The 23,497-nt window shown below is 48.7% G+C and overlaps 1 annotated feature.

Annotated features, from left to right (window-relative positions):
• Positions 8,042–8,838: an enhancer, noted in NCBI's record as "H3K4me1 hESC enhancer chr17:48111925-48112721 (GRCh37/hg19 assembly coordinates)". NCBI's record gives its function as "activates a minimal SCP1, AML or CMV promoter by ChIP-STARR-seq in naive H9 embryonic stem cells {active_cell/tissue: H9 hESC(naive)}" and the evidence as "EXISTENCE:reporter gene assay evidence [ECO:0000049][PMID:30033119]".

The following is a 23,497-nucleotide window of genomic DNA, read 5'->3' as shown; positions in this document are numbered from 1 at the left end:
AGTAAAATACTGGGTGAAGCTCAGTAAATATACTTTAGTACAAATAAAGTGGTGGACAGAGTTGCAGAGATAAGCAAAGACTGGTAGGAGAGTAGTGATTTGTTAAAAGCAGGGACTCTCAAGTCAGATTGCCTGGGTTCAAATTCTTCCCCCATCACTTGCTAACTGCATAACCATGGGCAAGTTACCTGATCACCTTGAACACTGATTTCCTCATCTGTAAAATGGGTATAATAGGAGTATATGCCTCATAGAGTCACTGCAAGAATTAAATGAGATAACACAAATAATGTTCTTAGAAAAAAATGTCAGGTACGTCTTGAACACTCAATAAATATTAGCTATTATTTTTCCTTGGAGGATGAATGAATTTCAGCAGGCAAAGATGTGTGCGTGGGAGTGACCTACAGAACAGTACACACTAAGGCACAGAGACAGGAAAACCCCGGTGCAAGTCTAGAGAATAGCAAGAGGCCAGTCCAGAGAAATTGGGAAAAGACAAGTTGGGGGCAGATGGTGAGATGCCTTGTGTTGACTAAGAAACTTGGACCTCATCAACATTTTCCAGTTAGTGTTTCCTGGAGCACCAGAGTCCCATAAGATGCTATTGGATATTTTGTAAAGATACAAGAAGGATATCAACAAGCAAAAGAATGAAGTGGACCCTTACCTCAGGCCATATACAAAAGTTAACTCAAAATGGATCAAAGCCCTAAATATAAGTGCTAAATCTATTAAATTATTTTTTTCTTTTTGAGATGCAGTCTCACTCTGTTGCCCAGTCCGGAGTGCAGTGGCACCATCTCGGCTCACCACAACCTCCGTCTCCCAGGTTCATGTGATTCTCCTTCCTCAGCCTCCTGAGTAGCTGGGATTACAGGCATGCACCAACATACTCAGCTAATTTTTGTATTTGTAGTGGAGACAGGGTTTCCCCAAGTTGGCCAGGCTGGTCTTGAACTACTGACCTCAGGTGATCTGCCCACCTAAACCTCCCAAAGTGCTGAGATTACAGGCGTGAGCCACCGCGCTGGGCCCTAAACCTATAAAATTCTTAGAAGAAAACATTGGAGTAAATCTTTGTGATCTTGGATTTGGCAATGGCTTCTTAGATATAAAACCAAAAGTACAAGCAACAAAGGAAAAAATAGATAAACTGAACTCTATCAAAATAGACAACCCACAGAATGGAGTAAAATATTTGTAAGATAAATATCTGATCAGGGATTTGTATCTAGCATATATAAAGAACTCCTATAACTCAGTAGTAAAAAGATGACCCAATTTAAAAATGGGCAAAGGATCTGAATAGACCGACCTTTCTTTAGAGAAGATATAGAAATGGCCAATAAGCACATTAAAAAATGCTCAATACCATTAGCCATCAGGGAAATGCAAGACAAAACTATGATAAAATACAACCTCATACTCACAAGGATGGCTAGAACCAAAAAGTTAGATAAAAGTTGTTAGCAATGGCCAGGTGCAGTGGCTCATGCCTGTAATCCCAGCAATTAGGGAGGCTGAGGTGGGCGGATCACCTAGGGCCAGGAGTTCGAGACCAGCCTGGCCAACATGGCAAAACCTCGTCTCCACTAAAAATACAAAAATTAGCCAGATGTGGTGGCTCATGCATGTACTCCCAGCTACTCGGAAGGCTGAGGCAGGAGAATTGCTTGAACCAGGAGGCGGAGGTTGCAGTGAGCCAATATCGTGCCACTGCACTCCAGCCTGGGTGACAGAGCAAGACTCCATCTCAGAATAAAAAAAAGAAACAGAAAAAGAAAAAAAAGTGTTAGCAAAGATGTGGGGAAATTGGAGCCCTCAACGGTGCTGGGGGAAAGGTAGAATGGTGCAATCGATTCAAAACATAGTCTGGCATTTCCTGAAATGGTTAAACATAGAGTTGCCATGTGACCCAGCAATTTCATTCATACGTATGTACACATGAAAAATGAAAACATGTATTCACACAAAAACCTGTGCATGAGGGCCAGGTGTGGTGGCTCATGCCTATAATCCCAGCACTTTGGGAGGCCAAGGCAGGCAGATCACCTGAGATCAGGAGTTCAAGACCATCCTGGCCCCATCCCATCTCTACTAAAAATACAAAAATTAGCTGGGTGTGGTGGCACACACCTGTAATTCCAGCTATTCAGGAGGCTGAGGCAGGAGAATTACTTGAACCCGGAACCCAGGAGGCGAAAGTTACTGTGAGCTGGGATTGCACCACTGCACTCCAGCCTGGGTGATAGAGTGAGATTACATCTCAAAAAACAAAAAACAACTTAACACCACTGACATTAGAGAAATGCAAAACAAAACCACAACAAGGTACTATCTCATGTCAGTCAGAATGGCAATTATTAAAAAGTTAAGAAACAACAGATGCTGGTGAGGTCCCAGAGAGATAGGAATGCTTTTACACTGTTAGTGGGAATGTAAATTAGTTCAACCATTGTGGAAGACAGTGTGGCGATTCCTCAAAGACCTAGAACCACAAATACCATTTGACCCAGTAATCCCATTACTGGGTACATACCCAAAGGAATATAAACCATTATATTATAAAGATACATGCAAACATATGCTCACTGCAGCACTATTCACAATAGCAAAAACATGGAATCAACCCAAATACCCATCGGTGATAGACTGGATAAAGAAAATGTGGTACATATACACCATGGAATACTATTCAGCCATGAAAAGGAATGAGATCACGTCCTTTGCGGGGACATGAATGGAGCTGGAAGTCATTATCCTCAGCAAACTAACACAGGAACAGGAAACCTAATGTGTTCTCACTCATAAGTGGGAGACGAACAATGAGAACACATGGACACAGGGAGGGAGACAACACATACTGGGGCTTGGCAGGGGAGAGGGCGAGGGGAGGGACAGCATCAGGAAAAATAGCTAATGCAGGGCTTAATACTTAGGTGATAGGTGCAGTAAACCACCATGTCTCATGTCTATGTGTGTAACAAACCTGCACATGTACCTCAGAACTTAAAATAAAATTAAATACTTTTTTTTGGTAGAGACAGCATCTCATTATTTTGCCCAGGCTGGTCTCCAACTCCTGGTCTCAAGTGATCCTCCTGCCTTGGCTTCTCAAAATTCTAGGCTTACAGGTGTGAGCCACCATGCCTGGCGAAACTGTACACTTTAAATGAATGAGTTCTATGACATGTGAATTATATTTCCATAAAGCTGTAAAAAATAAATACAAGTAGGGGGTGTGAATCTATCATCAAAACAGCTTGGGAAATGCTGGGTTAAGCAGAGGATTGTTGCTAGGCATGGTGGCCCGGGCCTGTAGTCCCAGCTGCTCAGGAGGCTGAGGCAGGAGGATCCCTTGAGCCTAGGAGTTTGAATCCAGCGTCATCTTAGCAACATAGCAAGATCCTGTCTCTAAACAAGAAAAAAAGAGGGGATTGTTTGCTTTGGGACTTCTCTGAGCCTTTTATATGCTAATATGCATTGGCAAAGTCCTGGAGTGGGTTAGTGTATGTATCATTTTCCAAACCTTTGACCATGGTTCAACCATGGAATCATCTTCAGAAGAACCTCTTCCAACCTCTCACAAAACACTTTTCACACTTTTTAGCAAGTTTGGCTGCAAGCAGTGGGGAGCCATTGAAGGTTCAAGCAGGGAAAGGGCCTGGTAGAGCTGCACCTAGAGGGAAGCCAGGCTGTGGTGGGGACATGAAAGCGGGAGGACAGCCTAGTGGCTTCGTGCCAGTGAAATGGTTAAAAAGGATTCTGAATAGACATTTCTCTAAAGAAGATATACAAATGGCCAATAGACATACAAAAAGATGTTCAATATCGTTAGTCGTCAAGGAAATGCAATTCAAACCATAATGAGATACCACTTCACACCCACCGGATATGGAGGCAGAGGTGGTAGGGATCCAAACACAGTGTTCAGAGGGGACTACCCTGCCACTTCTTTCCTCAGCTCTAGGAACGGGAGCTTCTCCTCTCCCTGGACTCCCTGACCTGAGTCCTAGGAATTCCCAGATTCTCCCTGATCCATCCTGGAGCCCCTGACTGCTTCACTGCTTCCAGAGAGGATGCTGGGGGCCCTCGTCCACCCCAGCTGTGTTTATGTCCCTCTTCCTGGAAGTGGGATAGGCACCAGCCTGGCCAGGCTGGTGGGTGTGGGAGGAAGGCACCGGATCTGGGGGCCTATGATAATCCTGGCAGTGGGGGCAAGAGTGGGTGAAGCAGGTTGGCCTGATCAGGGCCAGTCAGGCTGGAGCAGAGTGTCTTGTCCCGTCCCAAGGTGCCTTCTTCCAGAACAGCTCTGTTTCTCCCAGGCCATGAGAAACACACCTGGAGCTTGGAGCTGAGGGAACTTGGAGAAGGAAAACTGGCCTTTAAGTCTTAAAAGTCTTAGTCATACTGGTTACCATTTGTTGAGTACTTACTACATATTCTACCTTATGCTAAGTGCTTTGCATGCATATCTCATCTGATGCTCAAAAAAATCCTCATTTCCCCATTTGACAGATGAGGAAACTGAGCCTTAGAGGATTTCAATACCTTGCTCAATATTATCCAAGGAAGTGGGTCAAAGGAGTCTCATGAAACTAGATTTGAAATCAAGTTCTGGACAAGGGAGTAAGATTGGAGAAGCACATACAACTGCCTTCTTCCAGCTTTCCTGCTCCAGAGCCCAACCCAGCGCAGCCCTGCATCCACAGCCTCTCTCAGGGCCCTAGGAGTGGGGACAGGGAGCACCTTGAGATGACCTCAAAATTCCCAGCTGCCTGGTATGGTAAGTGTTCAGAGACTTCTTTCAAACGACATCCTTGTCTCAATCTAAGGCCACAGGAGAGGGGGAAATGTCAGGAAAGGTAGAGAGGCCATGCCTGCTCCAGGCTTCTGCTAAGGCAGGGAAGGGGACCCCAAGAAGTTTAGGGATATCCACCAGGGTTGGGCCCTTGGACAGGGTGACAGCAGGCAGAAGCTCTCCAGGAGGGGATGCAGCAGAGCAGGGTGAGGAGCACCATTAACTACCTAAAGGGCAGACCCATTCATTGCCATCCCAGAACCATGGAAGGGGTTCCTGGAAGGGCAGAAGCTAGATTTCAGAAAGAACATCCATTAACAAAGGATTCTGTGCCTGAGAGAGAAGGCTTGGGATCTCCAGGCTGGAGGAGATGCTGGCTGGCCTGGAGGCCGGGGGGATGGCTGAGATGGTGCAGCCACATTACAAGTATGGTTCTCCTGTCTGTGGCCAAACCCAGTCAAGGACCCAGCAGTCTGGACCCCTATATCCTTAATGTTGTCTCAGCTCGGAGGCAGAGGGATGGACACTGTGGCCTCCTCCCATAAGCCTTCTGGGTTGCAGGAGAGAGTTGGCTGGGGAGAAGGAGCATCATTAATTCCCCCAAATATTTACAGTGTTCCTAGTGCTGGGCCTGCAGCCAAGGCCCTTGGGTCAGGCCCTGTGCTGTGTCCATTACTCATGTCTCACTCAGGCGAGCAGGCCTTGGACACAGGGAGGGGTGGCCAGAGGAGGCAGGAGCCTGGGAGGCGGTGCAGGAGAACAGTAGCCCGCTGCCTGCCCCGATCCCTCCCCCAGCCCACCCGCCTGGCAGGAATCTGGCTGCACCCCAGATGCTTATGGCCTGCTCTCCAACGAGAGGTAGAGAAGCAAAGGGCGGGGAGCAGTCTCTCTTGCCTTGCTCTTCCAGGCTGCTGAGATGGGGGTGGGAGCAGTCTCTCTTGTCTCCCTGGCTCAGATTATCCAGCCACCAAGAATGGGGTCTCCCCCAGGGCCAGGCTGGGTCAGACAAGCTGCTGCCTGCCTTACATCCTGGGCGGGAAGCGGTCCCTAGAGGCAGAGCCGACAGGAAAAAATACTCAAGGAGCTTGACAGGAGTGGGGACACTGCCCTGGGCCCGCCAGCCACCTCCCAGGGCACACAGCCACATCCCATACCCAAACTACTGGAGGGTTTGGGGAGGCTGCAGCGGCCCCTGGACAATCAGCCCTGTGCTGCCCCTCCCAAGCTGGGCAGCCGGGCCCCACTCCCAGGACCCTGCCCAAGTCCCTCTTGGAGTCTTCTCCCCTGCTCCACCGACTCTGCCTCCATGACCCACCTCCTTCTCCTATTCCTGTCTCCCTCTGTCTCTCTGTCCCCCTCTTTCTTCATCTCTCATGTCTGCACAGACAGGGTGGGACAGGAATCCAGGTGCCACTCACTGAAAAGAGGTTTGGTGGGAGGAAGAGAACCAGGCCAGGTGAAGCAGTGGCTGACGTCCTTGGAGTGTCAAGAGCCCAGGCCCTCAGCCTTCCCTGCCCTTTGCAGGCCCCCACCCCTGCCCTGGGAGGTTTGGGGTGGAAACGTAGGAACAAACAGCCTCCCTCTCCCCCTCGACGTGGTTTAAGCAGATAAACCTGGACTTCAACCAAGCCTCTCCTGAGTCGGTAAACACCTGCTCCCTTGCCCCATAAGGCACCTGAGGACAATGAGGGACACTGTCTCATCTGCCCCCTGGGGAGTCCTCATTCTGCCTCCAGGCCAGCCCGGGAGGGGCCGTCAGCCTGAGAGACTCTAGGCCCCTTGGGACAAAGGGCTCTTGTAAAGGACGGGACCCCTACTCACTCACCACCTCTCCTCCCCTGAACAGGGCTTTCCAGGCTGGGACTGGATCACAGGGGAGAGTGGGAGCTGAGAGGCAGAGAGGGGTCCCAAATTCTTGCCCATCCAGGATGGGGCAACCGGCTGGTCCTTCCACACCTTTTGCAAGTCCTGAGCCAGGGCAGGGAGGGCAGGTCCACCCTGGCATCAGGGCTTTGGAGGGCAGTGCGGCCATCATGGGAGAGCTAAACACCCCTGCCCAGCCCCAAGCTCTCCTTTTCCTCTCCCAGCTTCTGGAAGATCCTCTGTCTGTCCCTGGCTCCTACTCTCTGCCACCGTCTTTCCCTCCCTCAGGAAGTCTTCTAGGAGGCAGCAGGCTGCGGGGAGCTGATACTGCGGGCCAGGGAGATGAGCAGGGAGAAAAGTTTACCCACACGATCTCATTTGCCTCTCACCATTTGGAGACTGCAGAGATTCTGAAGCCTTGGATTGGGCTGACCTCACCTGTCATGGAGCTTTCCCAAGGAGAGCTTGGGGCTGGGCAGAGGTGCATGGAGCTCTTCTCTGGTTGGCCTAAGTGCTGGTGAGCAGCTACCCTGCTCAAAGTCCATGTGAGGCTCCCTGAGGAGGACAGCCTGCAGAGCCCATCCACCCTGCTACTCAGATACCAGTCAGTGCTCGGGGGAGACAGGCAGGGCAGGGCCCCACTCAGGCTGGGAGACAGGACTCAGTATGGTCTGTGTGCTGGGGGGTTGGGGATGGAGATGAGGAAGGAGACAGCCTCTTTGATAAGGACATCTGGGAAGGCTGGCTGGAGGAGGTGGCATCTGGAGATAAGCCTTGATGAGGAGGGTTCCATCAAAGCAGTCTCCCATTTCTCTTAGGGGCTATGTTCACCACTGCTCCTCCCCCAGCCTGGAGCCTCCTTCACCACCAGGAGCAAAGCAGCTCCTAGCACTCCTGCCAGCTCCCCCAGAGTGCTGGCCTCTTCTCCCCCCAGCCCATGACCTCCCAGCTGTGCAGCTTTGGGTATGTGGTGGAGCCTCTCCAGGCCTCAGCTGTGCACTACAGTCACTAAAGTGCCACCTCCTGCAGTTTTCCTGCTGGTGGACTGCGGTCATGCTGGCGACAGCTCAGTCAGAGGTGAGGCCCAGCCCGATCAAAGCCTTCAGAATCTTTGCCGCCTCCAAATGGTGAGAGGCAGATGATATTATGGGTAAACCTCCTTCCCCCCCCTCACCTCCCTGGCCTTCAGTATCAGCTGCTCCTTGATGTGTTGCAATCAGCAGGCCACTAGTTCCTGGCTGCTCAGGGCCAGATGATTCTATCCTTGGGGACTGGGACCTGCGTGGAATCCCTTGCCTCTTTTGGGGGTCAGAATCCTTCCATCCAAGGACAAGTCTGGGTGGGGAATGGGTGGGGTGGGGAGAGCTCTCCTTCAAGCCTCCAGATGTCAGTAAGGAAAATCACCATGGCTTTTTCTAGCCACTTCGGCCTTTGGCCTCCAACATTCTCCATGAGTTTGTGTTCATGTCTGGCCAGCGGGGCTGACCTTCTGCAGCCCTGAGCTAGTGTGGGCAGGGGCTTGGAGAAAGTTCGCTGGGCTGGGTTGGCCCTAAACCACATCTAATTTCCCCTGCTGCTTTTGTGGGAAAACCAAGGCTCCGTCACCTGGGTACCTGAGTCCTCCAAACCTGCAGGCTCTCCTTCCACCCTCACATTTAGAAGACACACCCAGGCCAGGCGCAGTGGGAATCCCAGCATTTTGGGAGGCCAAGGCGGGCGGATCACTTGAGGTCTGGAGTTTGAAGTCAGGAGTTTGAGATCAGCCTGGCCAACATGGCAAAACCTCGTCTCTACTAACAATACAAAAATTAGCCAGGCATGGTGGCGGGTGGCTGTAGTCCCAGCTACTCGGGAGGCTGAGGCAGAAGAATCACTTGAACAAGGGAGGTGGAGGTTGCAGTGAGCTGAGATTGCGCCACTGCACTCCAACCTTGGTGACGGAGTGAGAGTCTGGCTCAAAGAAAACAACACATACTCGAGTGGCGTTGAGTGTTGCCCTCACCCCGGCCTCCCTGACCTGTCCTTGCTGCATTCCCACTGCCCTCTGCCTCTCACCTGTGGGCTGTTTGCTCCGAACTGTGTCAGCCCAGGTGTGGAATGCAGCCCCCCTTCCCTTTAATTCCTCCCTAAATACTCTTCACCCAAGGCAGTGAGGGTGGGGGATCATTCCTGAGGGATGGGGGTGATGGAGAAGAAGGGGCTACTTTTCCACCCAGCTCCCAAGCCCATGTTTCCACCTCCCTCTGGTTGCCTACCACTTATTGTCTTGGTTTTCAATCTCTCTTCGTCTCTATCTCTATCTGTCTGTCTCTCTCTCTCCACATCTGTCCTCAGGAATTCTCTCCTGAGTGGTCTCCTGAAACCGAGAGTTCTCCCAAGCTATTAGTTAGATAGATCCTTTCTCTCTCTCTCTCTCTCTCTCTCTCTCTCTCTCTCTCTCTCTCTCTCTCTGTTTCACATCCCAAGAGAGCCCAGCAAGGTATTTCCTAGTTCTGCTGCCAGCTTTTGCAATAACGTGTGTGTGTGCGTGTGTGTGCGCATGTGTGTGTGTTTTCTATTCCACACAGTTGGGGAAAGTAAACCCCAGAAAGAGATCGCTTGCCCAGAACCTTACAGAGTGAGGAACGAAGAAGGAATAAGAACCTAAGACTTTTAACTTCCTGCGTAAGAACTGCGTGACTCTGGGCAAGTTAATGAGTCTCTCTGGGCCACCATTTTATTTTATTTTAATGGAAATATTTAATTGAAGTGTAACGCATAGACAGAAAAGTGGATGGATTTTCACCAAATGGACACACCTGTGTAACCAGAACCCAGGTTGGGAAATATATTTCCAGCATCCCCCAAGCCCTTTTATATCTCCTCCCAATTTCTTCCTTCTTAGAAGGTAGCAATCATCTTGACTTCTACCACCATAGGTTCGTTTTGCTGGTTTTTTAACTTTTCATCAGCAGAATCGTAGAATATGTGTTCTTTTGTGTCTGGCAGTTTTTGCTCAACATTAAGCCTATGACATTCGCCCATCTTGTTTCTTGTACTTACAGTTTGTTTCTTTGCATTGCTGGACACCCTCGTATGAATACGCCACCATTTATTTATTCATTCTACTGCTGATGGACATCTGGATTTTTTCAGTTTAGGACTGTTGACAATAGTGCTGTGGTGAACATTCTTTTGCATGTTTTTTGGGGCACAATGAATACTTTTCTGTTGGATACAGGCCCAGATATGGACTTGCTAGTCATAGGGGCTGCGTATGCTTAGCTTTAGTTGGTGCTGTCATAAAGTTTTCCAAAGCGGTTGTGCCAACCCACGCTCCTGCCAGCTGGTACAAGAGCCCCATTTGCTGCACACCCCTGCCAATCTTCAGAAGTCAGTCTTTTTCATTTTAGCTCATTGTAGCTTTTGCATTTCCCTAGTGACTTATGATATCGAGCGTCTTTCCATATGACTACAGGGCATTTGGAAAGCCTTATTGTGGCGGGGTTGTTCACGTTGCCTGCCCATTTCTACTGAGTTATCTGTCTCTTTCCTGTTGATCTATTAGTGTTCTTTATATGCTCTGGATACAAGCCTTTTGTGGTGCAAATTTCTCCTGCAACTCTGCAGCTTTCCTTTTCACTTTCTTTTTATTTATTTATTTATTTATTTATTTATTGAGACAGTTTCGCTTTTGTTGCGCAGGCTGAAGTGCAATGGCGCGATCTCGGCTAACTGCAACCTCTGCCTCCCAGGTTCAAGGAGGTCCTGCCTCAGTCTCCCAACTAGCTGGGATTACAGGCATGCACCACCACGCCCAGCTAATTTTGTATTTTTAGTAGAGATGGGGTTTCACCATGTTGGTCAGGCTGGTCTCGAACTCCTGACCTCAGGTGATCCACCTGCCTTGCTCCCAAAGTGCTGGGATTACAGGCGTGAGCCACCATGCCCGGCCCCTTTTCACTTTCTTAATGGTGACTTTTGATCAACAGAAGTTCTAATTTTATTTTATTTTGATTATAAAGATAGGGTCTTGCTCTCTCACCCAGGCTGGAGTGCTGCGGCACAATCATAGCTCACTGCAGCCTTGAACTCGTGGCCTCGGGTAATCCTTCTGACTCAATCTCCCAAGTAGCTGGGACTATAGGCACACACCACAGTGCCCGGCTTAGAAGTTCTAAATTTCATGGAGAATAATTTATCAAGTTTTTTTTCTTTATGGCTAGAACTTTTTGTGTCCTGTTTAGGAAATTTAGCTACCCAGAAGGCTGAGGCAGGAGGATCGCTTGAGCCCAGGAGTTCGAGACCAGCCTGAGCAATGTGGTGAAATCCAGTCTCTACAAAAAAAAAATACAAAAATTAGCCTGGCATGGTGGCATCTGCCTATAGTCCCAGCTACTCAGGAGGCTGAGGTAGAGGTGGAAAGATTGCTTGAGCCTGGGAGGTTGATGCTGCAGCGAGCTAGGATTGCACTAATGCACTCCAGCCTGGGTGACAGAGCAAGACCCTATCTCAACAAACAAACAAACAAACAAACAACAACAAAATTTTGCCTACCCAAGGTCATGAATATATTCTGTTTTTTTCTAGTGGTTTTACCTTTTATATTTAGATATATATTCCATGTAGAATTTTATGTTTGTGTATGATGTGACATAGGGATCAAGATACCTTTTTTCCACATGAATATCCAATTGCCCAGCACCATTTATTGGAAAGACTATCCTTTCCCCAGTATAGCTGAGCAGTATCATCTTTGTTAGAAATCAAATAATCACATCTGGGTGGATTCACTTCAAGGCTCTCTATTCTGTCCCACAGGCTCTCTATTCTGTCCTTGCACTAATACCATGTTGTCTTAATATCTAGTACTGGAAGTCTTACAGCTGTGCTCTACTTGAAGAAAGTCTTGGCTATTCTTGATCCTTTCCATTTCCATACAAATTTTAGAATCAACTTATCGATTTCTGCACACACACACACACACACACACATTCCTGCCAGGATTTTGATTGGAATTGCATTGAATCTATAGATTGATTTGGGGAGGATTTACAAGGTGGAGCTTTCCAATCCATGAACACTAATTTAGATTATCTTTAAATTTTTTTATTTTTTGAGGCAAGATCTTACTCTGTCACCCAGGCTGGACTGTAGTGGCACAGTCATGGCTCACTGCAGTGTCGACCTCCTGCGCTGAAGTGATTCTCCCACCTCAGCCTCTTACAGGCACACGCCACCACACCAGACTAATTTTTCTATTTTTTGTGGAGATGGGGTTTCACTATGTTGCACAGGCTGGTCACAAACTCCTGGGCTCAAGTGATCTGCCCGCCTCCACCTCCCAAAGGGTTAGGATTATAGGCATGAGCCACCATGCCTGGCCTAGATATTTTTAAGTATTTATCAAAGATGTTTTGAAGTTTTCTGTGTAGTGAGGGAGCTTTCACTGTTTGGGTTAGATTTATTTTTAGGTATTTGATATTTTTATGATGTATAAATGATGTTGTCCTTTTAATTCCTTTCCCTAATTGTACATTGGTAGAAAAACATTTGATTCGTTCCTTTTTTTTTTTTTTTTTCACTTTTAGAGACAGGGTCTCACTATGTTGCCCAGGCTGGACTCAAACTCTTAGGCTCAAGGAATCCTCCTGCCTCAGCCTCTCTACTAGCTGGGACCACAGACATGGGTTACCACATCCGGCTTAGTAATTCTAATTTCAATGGAGAAAAATTTATCAAGTTTTTTCCTTTATGGTTAGTACTTTCTGTGTCCTATTTAGGAAATCTTGTTATTCAGGAGGCTGAGGCAGGAGGATTGCTTGAGCCCAGGAGTCCAAGGCCAGACTAGGCAACATAGTGAGACCGCATCTCTATTTAAAGGAAAAAAAAAAAAAGAAATCTTTGCCTACCCCAGCAACATTTGATTTTTTATACTGATTTTGTATCCAGTGAGCTTACTCAATTTACTTATTTATTCTAACAGCTTGTCTGTATATTTTGGGGGATTTTGTCTATGGGCCACTATGTCATCTAAATACTGGCAGTTTTCTTTCTCCCTTTACAATTCTCACAATGTTTCTTGTGCCTTATTCCCTTGCCTGAGGCCTCCCTTGTAGGGTAGTGCTGGATGGAGTGGTAACAGTGGGCTCCTCAGCTGCCTCCTGATCGTAGTAGAAAGCTTTGAATATTTCACCACTCAACCTAATGGAGTGTGTGTGTGTGTATTTCAGATAATCTTCATAGTACTACTTTTTCAGACATACCTTGCTGATAAGGGAAGGGTCTGAGGGGCTGGGATAGGGAGCAGTGGTTTGAGGTTGGGGAACCCCTGGGAGTGGCCTGCCCCTTGCTCAATTAAAAAGCAAAACAGTGCCGGGCGTGGTGGCTCACGCCTGTAATCCCAGCACTTTGTGAGGCTGAGAACGGCAAATCACTTGAGGCCAAGAGTTAGAGACCAGCCTGGCCAACATGGCGAATCCCCGTCTCTACTAAAAATACAAAAATTAGCTGGGCATCGTGTACTTGTAGTCCCAGCTACTCCAGAGGCTGAGAGGCACTAGAATCGCTTGAGCCCAGGAGGCGGAGGTTGCAGTGAGCTGAGATCGCATCACTGCACTCCAACTGGGCAACAGAGCGAGACTCCATCTCAAAAAAAAAAAAAAAAAAAAGCAAAGCAGAAGCTGGACCCTGCCTATAATCCAAGCACTTTGGGAGGCCAAGGTGGGAGGATCACTTGAGCCCAGTAGCTCAGGGCTGCAGTCAGCTATGATGGCACCACTGCATTCCAGCCTGGGTAACAGAGCAAGACTCCATCTCTTAAAAATAAAAATAGAAATAAACAGGCCAGGGGCGGTGGCTCATGCCTGTAATCCCAGCACTTTGGGAGGCCAAGGCGGGCGGATCACAAGGTCAGGAGTTCTAGACCAGCCTGGCCAACATAGTGAAACCCCGTCTCTACTAAAAATGCAAAAAATTAGCTGGGCGTGGTGGCAGGTGCCTGTAATCCCAGCTACTCGGGAGGCTGAGGCAGGAGAATCGTTTGAACCTGGGGGGCAGAGGTTGCAGTGAGCCAAGATTGTGCCACTACACTCCAGCCTGGGCGACAGAGTAAGTAAGACTCTGTCTCAAAAATAAATAAATAAATAAATAAATAAAAATAAAAGAAAAGAAATAAACAAAACAGAGTTGTCTCCAAAGGGGAACACCTCTCTGGTGACTCCCTCTATGTCCTCCATCAGAACCTGGTCAGAACATCTGTCTGGTCTGGGGCTGCTGGGTATCCCCTTTGGCTCTGGAGCATGAGGCTACCGGTCCATTCCTGTCATTCCCCCGGGCGCTGAGGCTCAGAGCAGGGTGGTGACTAGCTTAGGTCCCACAGCAAGTGAGTGGCAGAGCCAGGACTGGAACTCGAGGTTCCTGGAGCCCAGCTCCACTTCGGCCACCACACTGTGGTCAGGAGCTGGGAGGTGACCAGAGGGCAGAGGGAGGGGCATGTAGGTATTTCAGGAACGGGACAACTTTGTGCAGGTACTGGACTCTATGCCCACAGATGTGCGTAAAGAAGATAGGTGGGCAGCCCCTCCTCCAACAAGAGAGGAGCGGGGTCCAGGTGGGGTGGGAGGCAGGTGAGCAGCTGACCCTCAAATCTAGTCCTGCGCCATTTGGAAGGAGGATTTGGGGAGAAATCTCCCCAGGGCAGCATGGAGACCTGGACCATTGGGGTTTGCTCCATCCCCACTAAGGCCCTTGGGAGGAGCTTAGATATCAGGACTGGGACCCTGGGAGCCCAGCGCTCCCAGGAGGAGCCCATGGCCAGAGAGGGCAAGTCCTGGATGCACAAGGAGATGGCGCAGAGCTGTGGCCATACCAAACCCAGCGTGCTTGGCTGTCTAGGACAGGAACAGTGGCCCTGTGTAGAACCCAGCCTGGTCTCCCCAATTCTCACCACAGACTCCAGGATGACAGAGAGGAGAGGGCTGAGCGAGAGAGGAGAAAATGGAGAGGAAGGACGGGTCAGAAAAGGGAAGACAGCCCTGAGAGGCGGGAGCTAGACAGGGGGTCCAAGGTGTGAGGGGCCAGGAGGCACATGGAGGGGAGCTGAGCCCAGGCGGGGAGGGTAGGGATGAAGCAAACCCAGACACAGGATGTCAGAGGCAAGCGGCATTCTTCCTCCCTGGCTAGCCCCTCCTCCACCCTGCCCACTGGGAATGTGCGGAATGTGATGAGCCGGTAGGATCAGGACTCCCACTCCACCTGGCACAGTGCGCGGCGGGGCGCTATGCCATCCCCACGTATCACAGGGGGGTTTCTTGGGGGTGGGGTGGAGAGATTTCAATGGACATTACCCTAATATAGAAACTGTGTGGAAGGTCTTGGGGAGGGGTGCCACTCCTGTGGGCCAGATGCCAGGGCTGTGGGCATGATCAGATGCTTTCCTGTTGAGCTGCTGTGAGTCAGAAGGCACGGGGCCTGGGTTGGTAGTTGGGGTGGGGGGCAGTGTCCCCAGTTGCCAGGGAAGCTGGGGCAGCAGGAGAGGGGAGGAGGGAAGCAATACAGAGTGGCAGCTGACACTCTCCTGGAGGACTGGGCACTGCAGCTGCTGGCCAAGGAAGTCCTCTGGGGGCCCCAAAAAATGACTCCACCCCTGCTGGATTTAGAGTCCCATGGAGCAAACTGGGGCTCCTATGGTCCTCACTGCAGCGGGTCCAGGGGCTCCACCAATTCAACGCAGGGCAGTCTCGAGGCGCGTGGGCACGCTCTGTGTCCTGCAGCATCCACGCCTGCCCCGCCCTCCCATAGATGCTCGTGGCCCTCCTCTTTGCACAGCTGCATTCACTCCCCTTCCTTGAGTGATGCAGCCCACCTTTGTTGAGGCTTGCTCTGTGGCAGGCACTGTGCAAGGTCCTGGGGCTTCAACAGTGAATCAGCTGAGGTCCCTGCCCTCCTGGGGCTATGCGTCATGTGGGGCCTGAGCCAACAGCCAAGACATGGATGCTTCTGGCTGAACGCTGGCCTCACAGCCGGAAGCAGGGGAGGGGCAGGAGCAAGGCTTGAGGAAAGCAGAAGGGATCCGGTGACCCTGAGGCCCCGGGACCCAGTCCTGTTCCAGGGATCCACTTTCTGCCCTGGAGAGGTACACGTCTGAGAAACGCTGCAGAACACAGCAGAGGGAAGGGAGAAGGGGGGCAGAGGGGTGGACTCGCGGTTTGAGGTTGAGCCTGGTTGGAGGAAGAACAGAGACGGAGAAAACCTCAGCCCCAGGGACCACTGTGCGGCTACACCTGAGCCCCACTGCGGGCGGCCTGAGCCCAGCATGGGAGGCCAGCCAAACCTCTCTCAGGGCCCACTGCCCGCTGGCTCCGCGGCAGAACGGAGGGCAGGGGGCGCTAGCCCGAGTGGCTGCCGTGGGATCCGATCCAGGCAGGCCCCGCCAGCTGCAGGACTGACCCACAGGTACCTGGCCGCCATGGCCCACTCTGGTCCCGGCACCCCCGCGGGGCTGCTGAGCAGGGAGGGCCGTGTGAGGTGCCCACAACAGCCACCTCTTCTGGGCCAGTTTTGGTTCCTCCTCACACTTAGCACAATGCCTGCTGGCACAAATGAGTCAAAAATGCTTGGGGGGAATCAAAGCTATGAATGAATGACGATTGAATAAATAAATGATGGATGGATAAACAAATCCATCAACCAACCAGTTATCGGAGTTCCAGCAGCCAATCCTTCAGAAATGGGCATGCTTGCCACCTGGTGGCGACTGCGCTAACTGCAGCCATGGTCAGGGCCAGCATCACCGGTCACCACACAGCAGAAGCCTGGGCTGCCACCACCAAGGCAGATCCCGGGGTCACCCTGTTCCTCCTCCTGCCTCTCAGCCATGCTGCCTTATTTTCCAGCACACTTAAGCAATTTTCTGTTATGTTTGAAAACCCTCTTAGGTAAGAGATTCCTTCCTCGCCTGTGCCCTTTGGAAACTCCTACGTATGCCCTGACCTTTGTTTTCGTCTGGTTCTCTTTTGTCCTCCAGGCAGAAAGAGCATGAGCGCCTCCTTCCCCTCACCCGGACAGGAAGGTCAGCCTGGCAAGAGTCAGGCCCTGGACCGGACAGGCAGGAATTCTGTCTGTCCTTCCCTGTCTCTTCCCCGACTTCTAAATATGTTAAGTCGGTTGGTTTGTCTCAGGGTGGGTCCTTCACTCCTGCTTCTGAATTCGTGTGAAGACACTTGGCCTGCTGGCTCCAGGCAGTCCCCATGGGCACCCAGGGCCCAGAGCCACACTCTGCCATTTAGAGCAGGACAGCAGTGAGGATCCACCACGGCCAGCAGTGAACACAACAGCTCTAATACAGGGAAATACCCTGGCCTGGAGACAGGAGACAGCATTATGTGGCTTTGGACAGGTCACAGGCCCCCTCTAGGCCTCAGTTCCCCCATCTGTGTAACCGGGGGTAACTCTGGTTCTGGCATTCCGTGGCTCTGCCTCTCCATGCCTGGCTGATGTCCACAGTGTTTCTTCCCTCCTTTTCACAGGTCCGGGCTTCATAGCTGCCCTCACTCCCCCTTGTCCTGCTCTCTAGCCCCAGGGCCAGCTGTAAAACACATGGTGGCTTTCAGGCATCCCTTTACTTTGTGTCCCTGTAAGGGGGGATCCCAGGTGTGGTGAGATCACTGGTTGCCTATCCCTGACATCCATTCCCCCTTCCTTGTTAGTTATAGAACCCCACTTTCATGTGGGGCAGCGGGAGCCTCGGGGTCCTCAAAGGGGAAGCCCATGATTGATCACAGACCCATCTCCATGTGACTCTTTCTCCCCTGCTCTATTTGAGGACCCTGTGGCCCAGTCTGGTTGACACATAAAATTTAAGCATCACAGCTGGGTGTGGTGGCTCATACCTGTAATCCCAAGCACTTTGGGTGGCTGAGGCAGGTGGATCACTTGAGGTCACGAGTTTGAGACCAGCTTGGCCAACACAGTGAAATCCCGTTTCTACTAAAATTACAAAAAATTAGCTGGGAGTGGTGGTGCGCACCTGTAATCCCAGCACTTTGGGAGGTCGAGGCAGGAGGATTGCTTGAGCCCAGGAGTTCATGACCAGCTTTGGCAACATAGCAAGATCCTGTCCCGAAAAAAGATACATATATATATATCTAAATTTTCTCTCTCTATATATATTTCTTTCTCTCTATATATTCTCTCTCTCTCCATATATATATATATATATATATATATATATATATATACACACACACACACACACACACGTATATATATATATATATACATATATACACACACGGGGCATCTAGCTACAGCCTTGGTTACCAGGAAGACAGTGGGTACTTGTTAGAGTTAGCTGCTGTGATGAACTCTCTCTCTATATATGTGTGTGTGTGTGTATACATACATGTATACAGGTACACACACATACATATATGCATGCATGTATGCATGCGTGCGTGCATGCTGCATGCATGCGTGCGTGCATGCTGCATGTATGCGTGCGTGCATGCATGCATGCAGCATGTATGCATGCAGCATGTATGCATGTATGCATGCATGCATGTTGCATGCATGGATGCATGGATGCATGTATGGATGCACGTGTACATGTATGGATGCATGTATGCATGCACGTGTACATGTATGTATACATGTATGGATGCATGTGTGGATGTATGTATGCATGTATGTATACATGCATGGATGCGCACATACATGTATGTATACATGTTGCGTGTATGCATGTATACATGTGTGGATGCATGCATGGATGCATGCATACATGTGTGGATGCATGCATGGATGCATGGGCACATGTATGTATGTATGTATGCACGCATATATGTAAATGCATGTATGTATACACGCATAAATGCATACACATACATGCATACATGCGTGCACACATACATGAAGACATGCAGACATGCATCCATGCATGCATACATGTATGCATACATATATGTGTACATGGATAATGCATACATACATGCATACACACATCCATACATTGTACATATGTGTGCACACATGCATGCATACGTGCACACATGCATACATGCATTCATATACATACGTGCATACATGCATGCATACATGTATGCATGTGCACACACATACATATGTGTATATATACATATGTGTGTATACATGCATGCACGCATGTATCCACATACACATACATGTATGTATGCATGTACGCATGTATACATGTGTGCATGCATTCACATGCATGCGTGCATACATGCATGTGTGTATGCATACATGTATGTATAATGCATGCGTGTTTACACATGCATACATGTGTGTATACATAGATGTATGTATACACATATACATACATGTATATGCATACATATGTGTACATACATGCATGCATACACATATGCGTACATGTATGCATGCATGCATGCATGTAAATGCATGTATGTATGCACACATGCATATGTATATGTGCATGCATACATACATGTATATGCACACATGTGTATGTATGCATACATGTGTGTATATGCGCATACACATGTGTGTATGCAAACATGTATGGGTACATGTATGCATGTGTGGGTACATACATGTACATATGCCCTACATACATATATGCATGCATGCGTGTTTGCATGTGTATACATACATGTACATATGCATGTGTGCATGTGTGTATACATACATGTATGTGTGCATGTGTGTATACATACATGTATGTGTGCATGTGTGTATACACATAGGTGTGTATATATGTATATGTTATATATGTATATACACATATATGTATACATATATACACATATATACATACATATGTATAGAGTTCATCACAGCAAGACAAGTATATGTATACATACACTTATATATACTTATATGTATACATATATACACATATATACATATACACATATATGTGTATACATGTACACGTATATGTGTATACATGTACACATATGTGTTTATACACACATGCATACATGCATACATACGTGTGTATTCATACATGCACACATACACGTGTGTATACACACATGCACTCATGCGTGCGTACATGTATGTACACACATGCACGCATGCATGTATGTATACATACATGTGCATGCACATATGCATACATGTATGCATACATACATATGTGTGTATGTATGCATATATGCACATATACATATACAGGTATGTATGCGTGTATGCATATATGTATATACATGTATGCATGTATGCATGCATATGTGCGTGTGTGTACATACATGCACTATGCATGTATGCATGCATGTGTGCATACACATATATGTGTGTGTATACATATATACGTGTATATGTATACATATATGTGTATATGTAGACATACCTATATGTGTATATATGTATACATATATGTATATATACGTGTATATATACATATACTTGTCAGAGTTAGTTGCTGTGATGAACTCTATATATACGAATGTACATATGTGTTATATATGTATATATACATATGTAACAATTGTGTATATATACATATATAACACATACATATATAGATACACACACACATATATAGAGAGAGAGATAGAGACAGAGAGAGAGAGAGTTCACAGCAACTAATTCTGACAAGTACCCACCATCTTCCTGGGAACCAAGGCTGTAGATAGATGCCCCAGGCATTAGCCAGGGAAGGAACCAGGAGGGCCGAGTCTCGAGGGGAAAGGCCTCAGGGAACCCAGGGAAAGGCAGAAGAGACAGGGGCTGACAAAGGAATGAAAGCATGCAGAAAAATGTGCTTTCCAACTGTTCAGCTGAGGAAGTGCTATTCATAGTAAATATCTGCCTGTCACTGGCTTGCCCATAGTGCTGGTCATCATGTGAGTGTGAGAGTGATGGAGAATCCAGGCGGCTGGGCTGGAGGAGGTCAGGGAAAAGTGGCTAACTTATTGTCCGCAAGGAGCTCTGAGTCTGAAAAGGGAGACATGACAAGGACAATGCTCTGGGAATGGGGGGTTGAGGGTGGGCAGGAAGTAAGATTGGAGGGTGGGAGAAAGGGCCAGGGGGCTAGGCTGAGAAGGGGACAGAAGACAGGAGCAGGTCTCGTTGGGGAGGAAGGTGGGGGCCGGAAGTTATTCCCAAGTGCTGCAGGAAGTTCATTCCTGTAGCTCAAAGGTCAGCAAACTACAATCCACAAGCTAAATCCAGCTTTTGTAAACAAAATTGTATTTATGTACTGTCTATGGCTGCTTTCTTGTTGAGACAGAGATCACATGGCCTGCAAAGTCTAAAATAATTTCTATCTGGCCTTTTACAAAGTTTGTTAATCTCTGCTGTAGCTGGTCTGTTGATCCATTCATTGAACAATTGATAGCACATACTAGGTGCCAGGCCCGGAGTAACCTTGGCTGCAGTCATGGAGATAAGGGATGTCATCCCTGCCCTCTTGGCCCTTACACTCCAGAGGGAGAGACTGGTAGGTAGGGGTCACCTGTCTAACCACAGGAACTTTACCACATAAGTCAAATTATTGTTGAGTATAACAGTGGGCACACAATCCAATGCACCACTGAAAAGATGAATGAATGAATGAATGAATGAATGAATGAATGAAATGTGGGAAAAGGCAGAGAAGAGAAAAGCACAGAGGGCCGCAGGAGCCCAGAGGCAGGGCTCTCAGTGTGAGGGGCTGGGTTGTGTATTATGGGGGGCCTCTTGGTAGTAAGGCTGGTCTCCCAGGACAAAAGGGAATTAGCCACCTGAAGAAAGGGATCAGACAGGGAGGCATGTGCTCCCAGGGAAATGCAAGGCTTGTGGAAGGGCTGGAGCCCCAAAGCTGGGCAGAACTATGGGACTGGAGGCTGCAGAGCTGACGTGCTGCTGGTTTGGGCTTGAGTGTGTAGTTAATGGGAGGCACCAAGGGGCTTCAGGCTGGACCCTTGTATCGCTGCTCTAGGGGAGCGGATTCTGGCACAGGATGCCTGCGTGCCATTGGGGGAGAGAGGGCTGAGGCCTGGGGCAGGGCGGTGCAGGACAGTGCAGGGCAGTGGAATGAAGAGGATGGGGGTGGAGGGAAGATTTGAAAGGTATATGGAAGGCAGGACCAATGATACCTGGGCATTGACCAATTGTGGAGGATGAGAGTGTAGTTGGTTGAATGAACAATAGAGCTGTCACTGAGAAAGGGAACAGTGCAGGAGGAGAATAGGGTGAAGACAGCAAGTTCAATTTCCCACGCGTGGAGTTCGAGCCACCTGTGGGACATTCAATTTAGAGTCCTGAAGATGGCAGGACTCACAGCTCTGGACTCAAAGGAAAGGTCTGTGCTGAGCTACAGATGTGAAGGCTGTGCACATCTGCAGATTGTGCAAGGAACATGTGAACCGGGAGCTGAGAACAAGAAACAAAAAGAGGAACCCAAGGATATCTTGGGGCACTTGTCAAGCGTCTGGCTGAGGACAGGGTGCTGAGGACACAGCGGGAGCCAGATGCTGTCCCTGTCCTTGAGAGCTTACTGTGCAGTCAGCAAGCGAGGCACATCAATAGATCATTTCCATAGAATACAGTAAGTGAGACAATGGATGCGTGTTTGTGTGGCTCCAGGAATTTGGCCAAAAATGGTTTAGCAGAAAGCACTTTGGCTCCCTGCCGAAGGGGAAATGGACAGCCTGTCTTCCCTCTTCTGAGAAGGGGGCCTCAGTTTCCCAGTAGAGAACCGCTTCTCCAGTATCTGAAAGGGTGTGAGGGGGCTCCTCCCCCCAGCCACCATCTCGCGCTGGAAGCAATGATCCCACATGATCCAGGCTCTGCCACTCCCTTTGGAGACGGCAAGTAGTTTGGGGACAGGTGTGTGACTCAAAGGCACCCAATGAGACTCTATCTCAAGCCTGTGCCTGGGACAGAAGTGCTTTCATTGCTAGGCTTGCTGGGTGAGGATAATACAAGCACAGGCTGGGAGGGGAACAAAGGGCCCAGAGAGACAATGTGGACCTGGTGACACTGTTTGAGCTCTTCAAAGTGAGTTCTACCCTGGTGCTGGCTGGCAGAGGTGGTGAGTCCCCTCACCCTCTGGTGACCAACTTTTTGGAGAGCCAGGTGGGACACAGCTATACCAGAAAAAACATAAAAAGCATAATATTATATGTCATATATACACATTTTATAACTTTAATGTAAAAATATGAAAATAGGTGTTTATTTGAAATTCTATGTTGTTCTCTATTATTTACTTTTCTAATCCATAAATGCTGTTATTTAAGCCAAACAACAATAGGACAAGTTAAAAGTGGCAATTAGTACTAATTAACAGTGGGGCAATTAAACAAATGATATGTGTGAATAAACACTACTTTTATAAAGTCTCTTTCTGTCCATTTATTTTAACTTTTTTTTTTTTGAGATGGAGTCTTGCTCTGTCACCCAGGCTGGAGTGCAGTGGCATGATCTCAACTCACTGCAACCTCCGCCTCCAGGGTTCAAGAGATTCTCCTGCCCCAGCCTCCCGAGTAGCTAGGACTACAGGTGCCTGCCATCATGTCTGGCTAATTTTTGTATTTTTGTAGAGATGGGGTTTCACCATGTTGGCCAGGCTGGTCTTGAACTCCTGACCTCAGGTGATCTGCCCTCCTTGGCCTCCTGAAGTGCTGGGATTACAGGCATGAGCCACTGCACCGGCCTTATTTTAACTGTTTTTTAAAACTCTTTACTAGGTATTTAAATTCTATAGTCTATACTACTGTGTATTCTTTTTTATTTTGAGACCAAGTCTTACTCTGTCGCCAGGCTGGAGTGCCACTAGTGGTGCGATCTCAGCTCACTGCAACCTCCGCCTCCCCAGTTCAAGCAATTCTCCTGCCTGAGCCTCTCGAGTAGCTGGGACTACAGGTGCGCGCCACCACG

Source organism: Homo sapiens, chromosome 17, assembly GCF_000001405.40.
Source record: "Homo sapiens chromosome 17, GRCh38.p14 Primary Assembly".
In the NCBI taxonomy this organism is placed as follows: Eukaryota; Metazoa; Chordata; class Mammalia; order Primates; family Hominidae; genus Homo; species Homo sapiens.
Note: the sequence above shows the minus strand (reverse complement) of the source record. Positions and strands in the feature narration are given on the sequence as shown.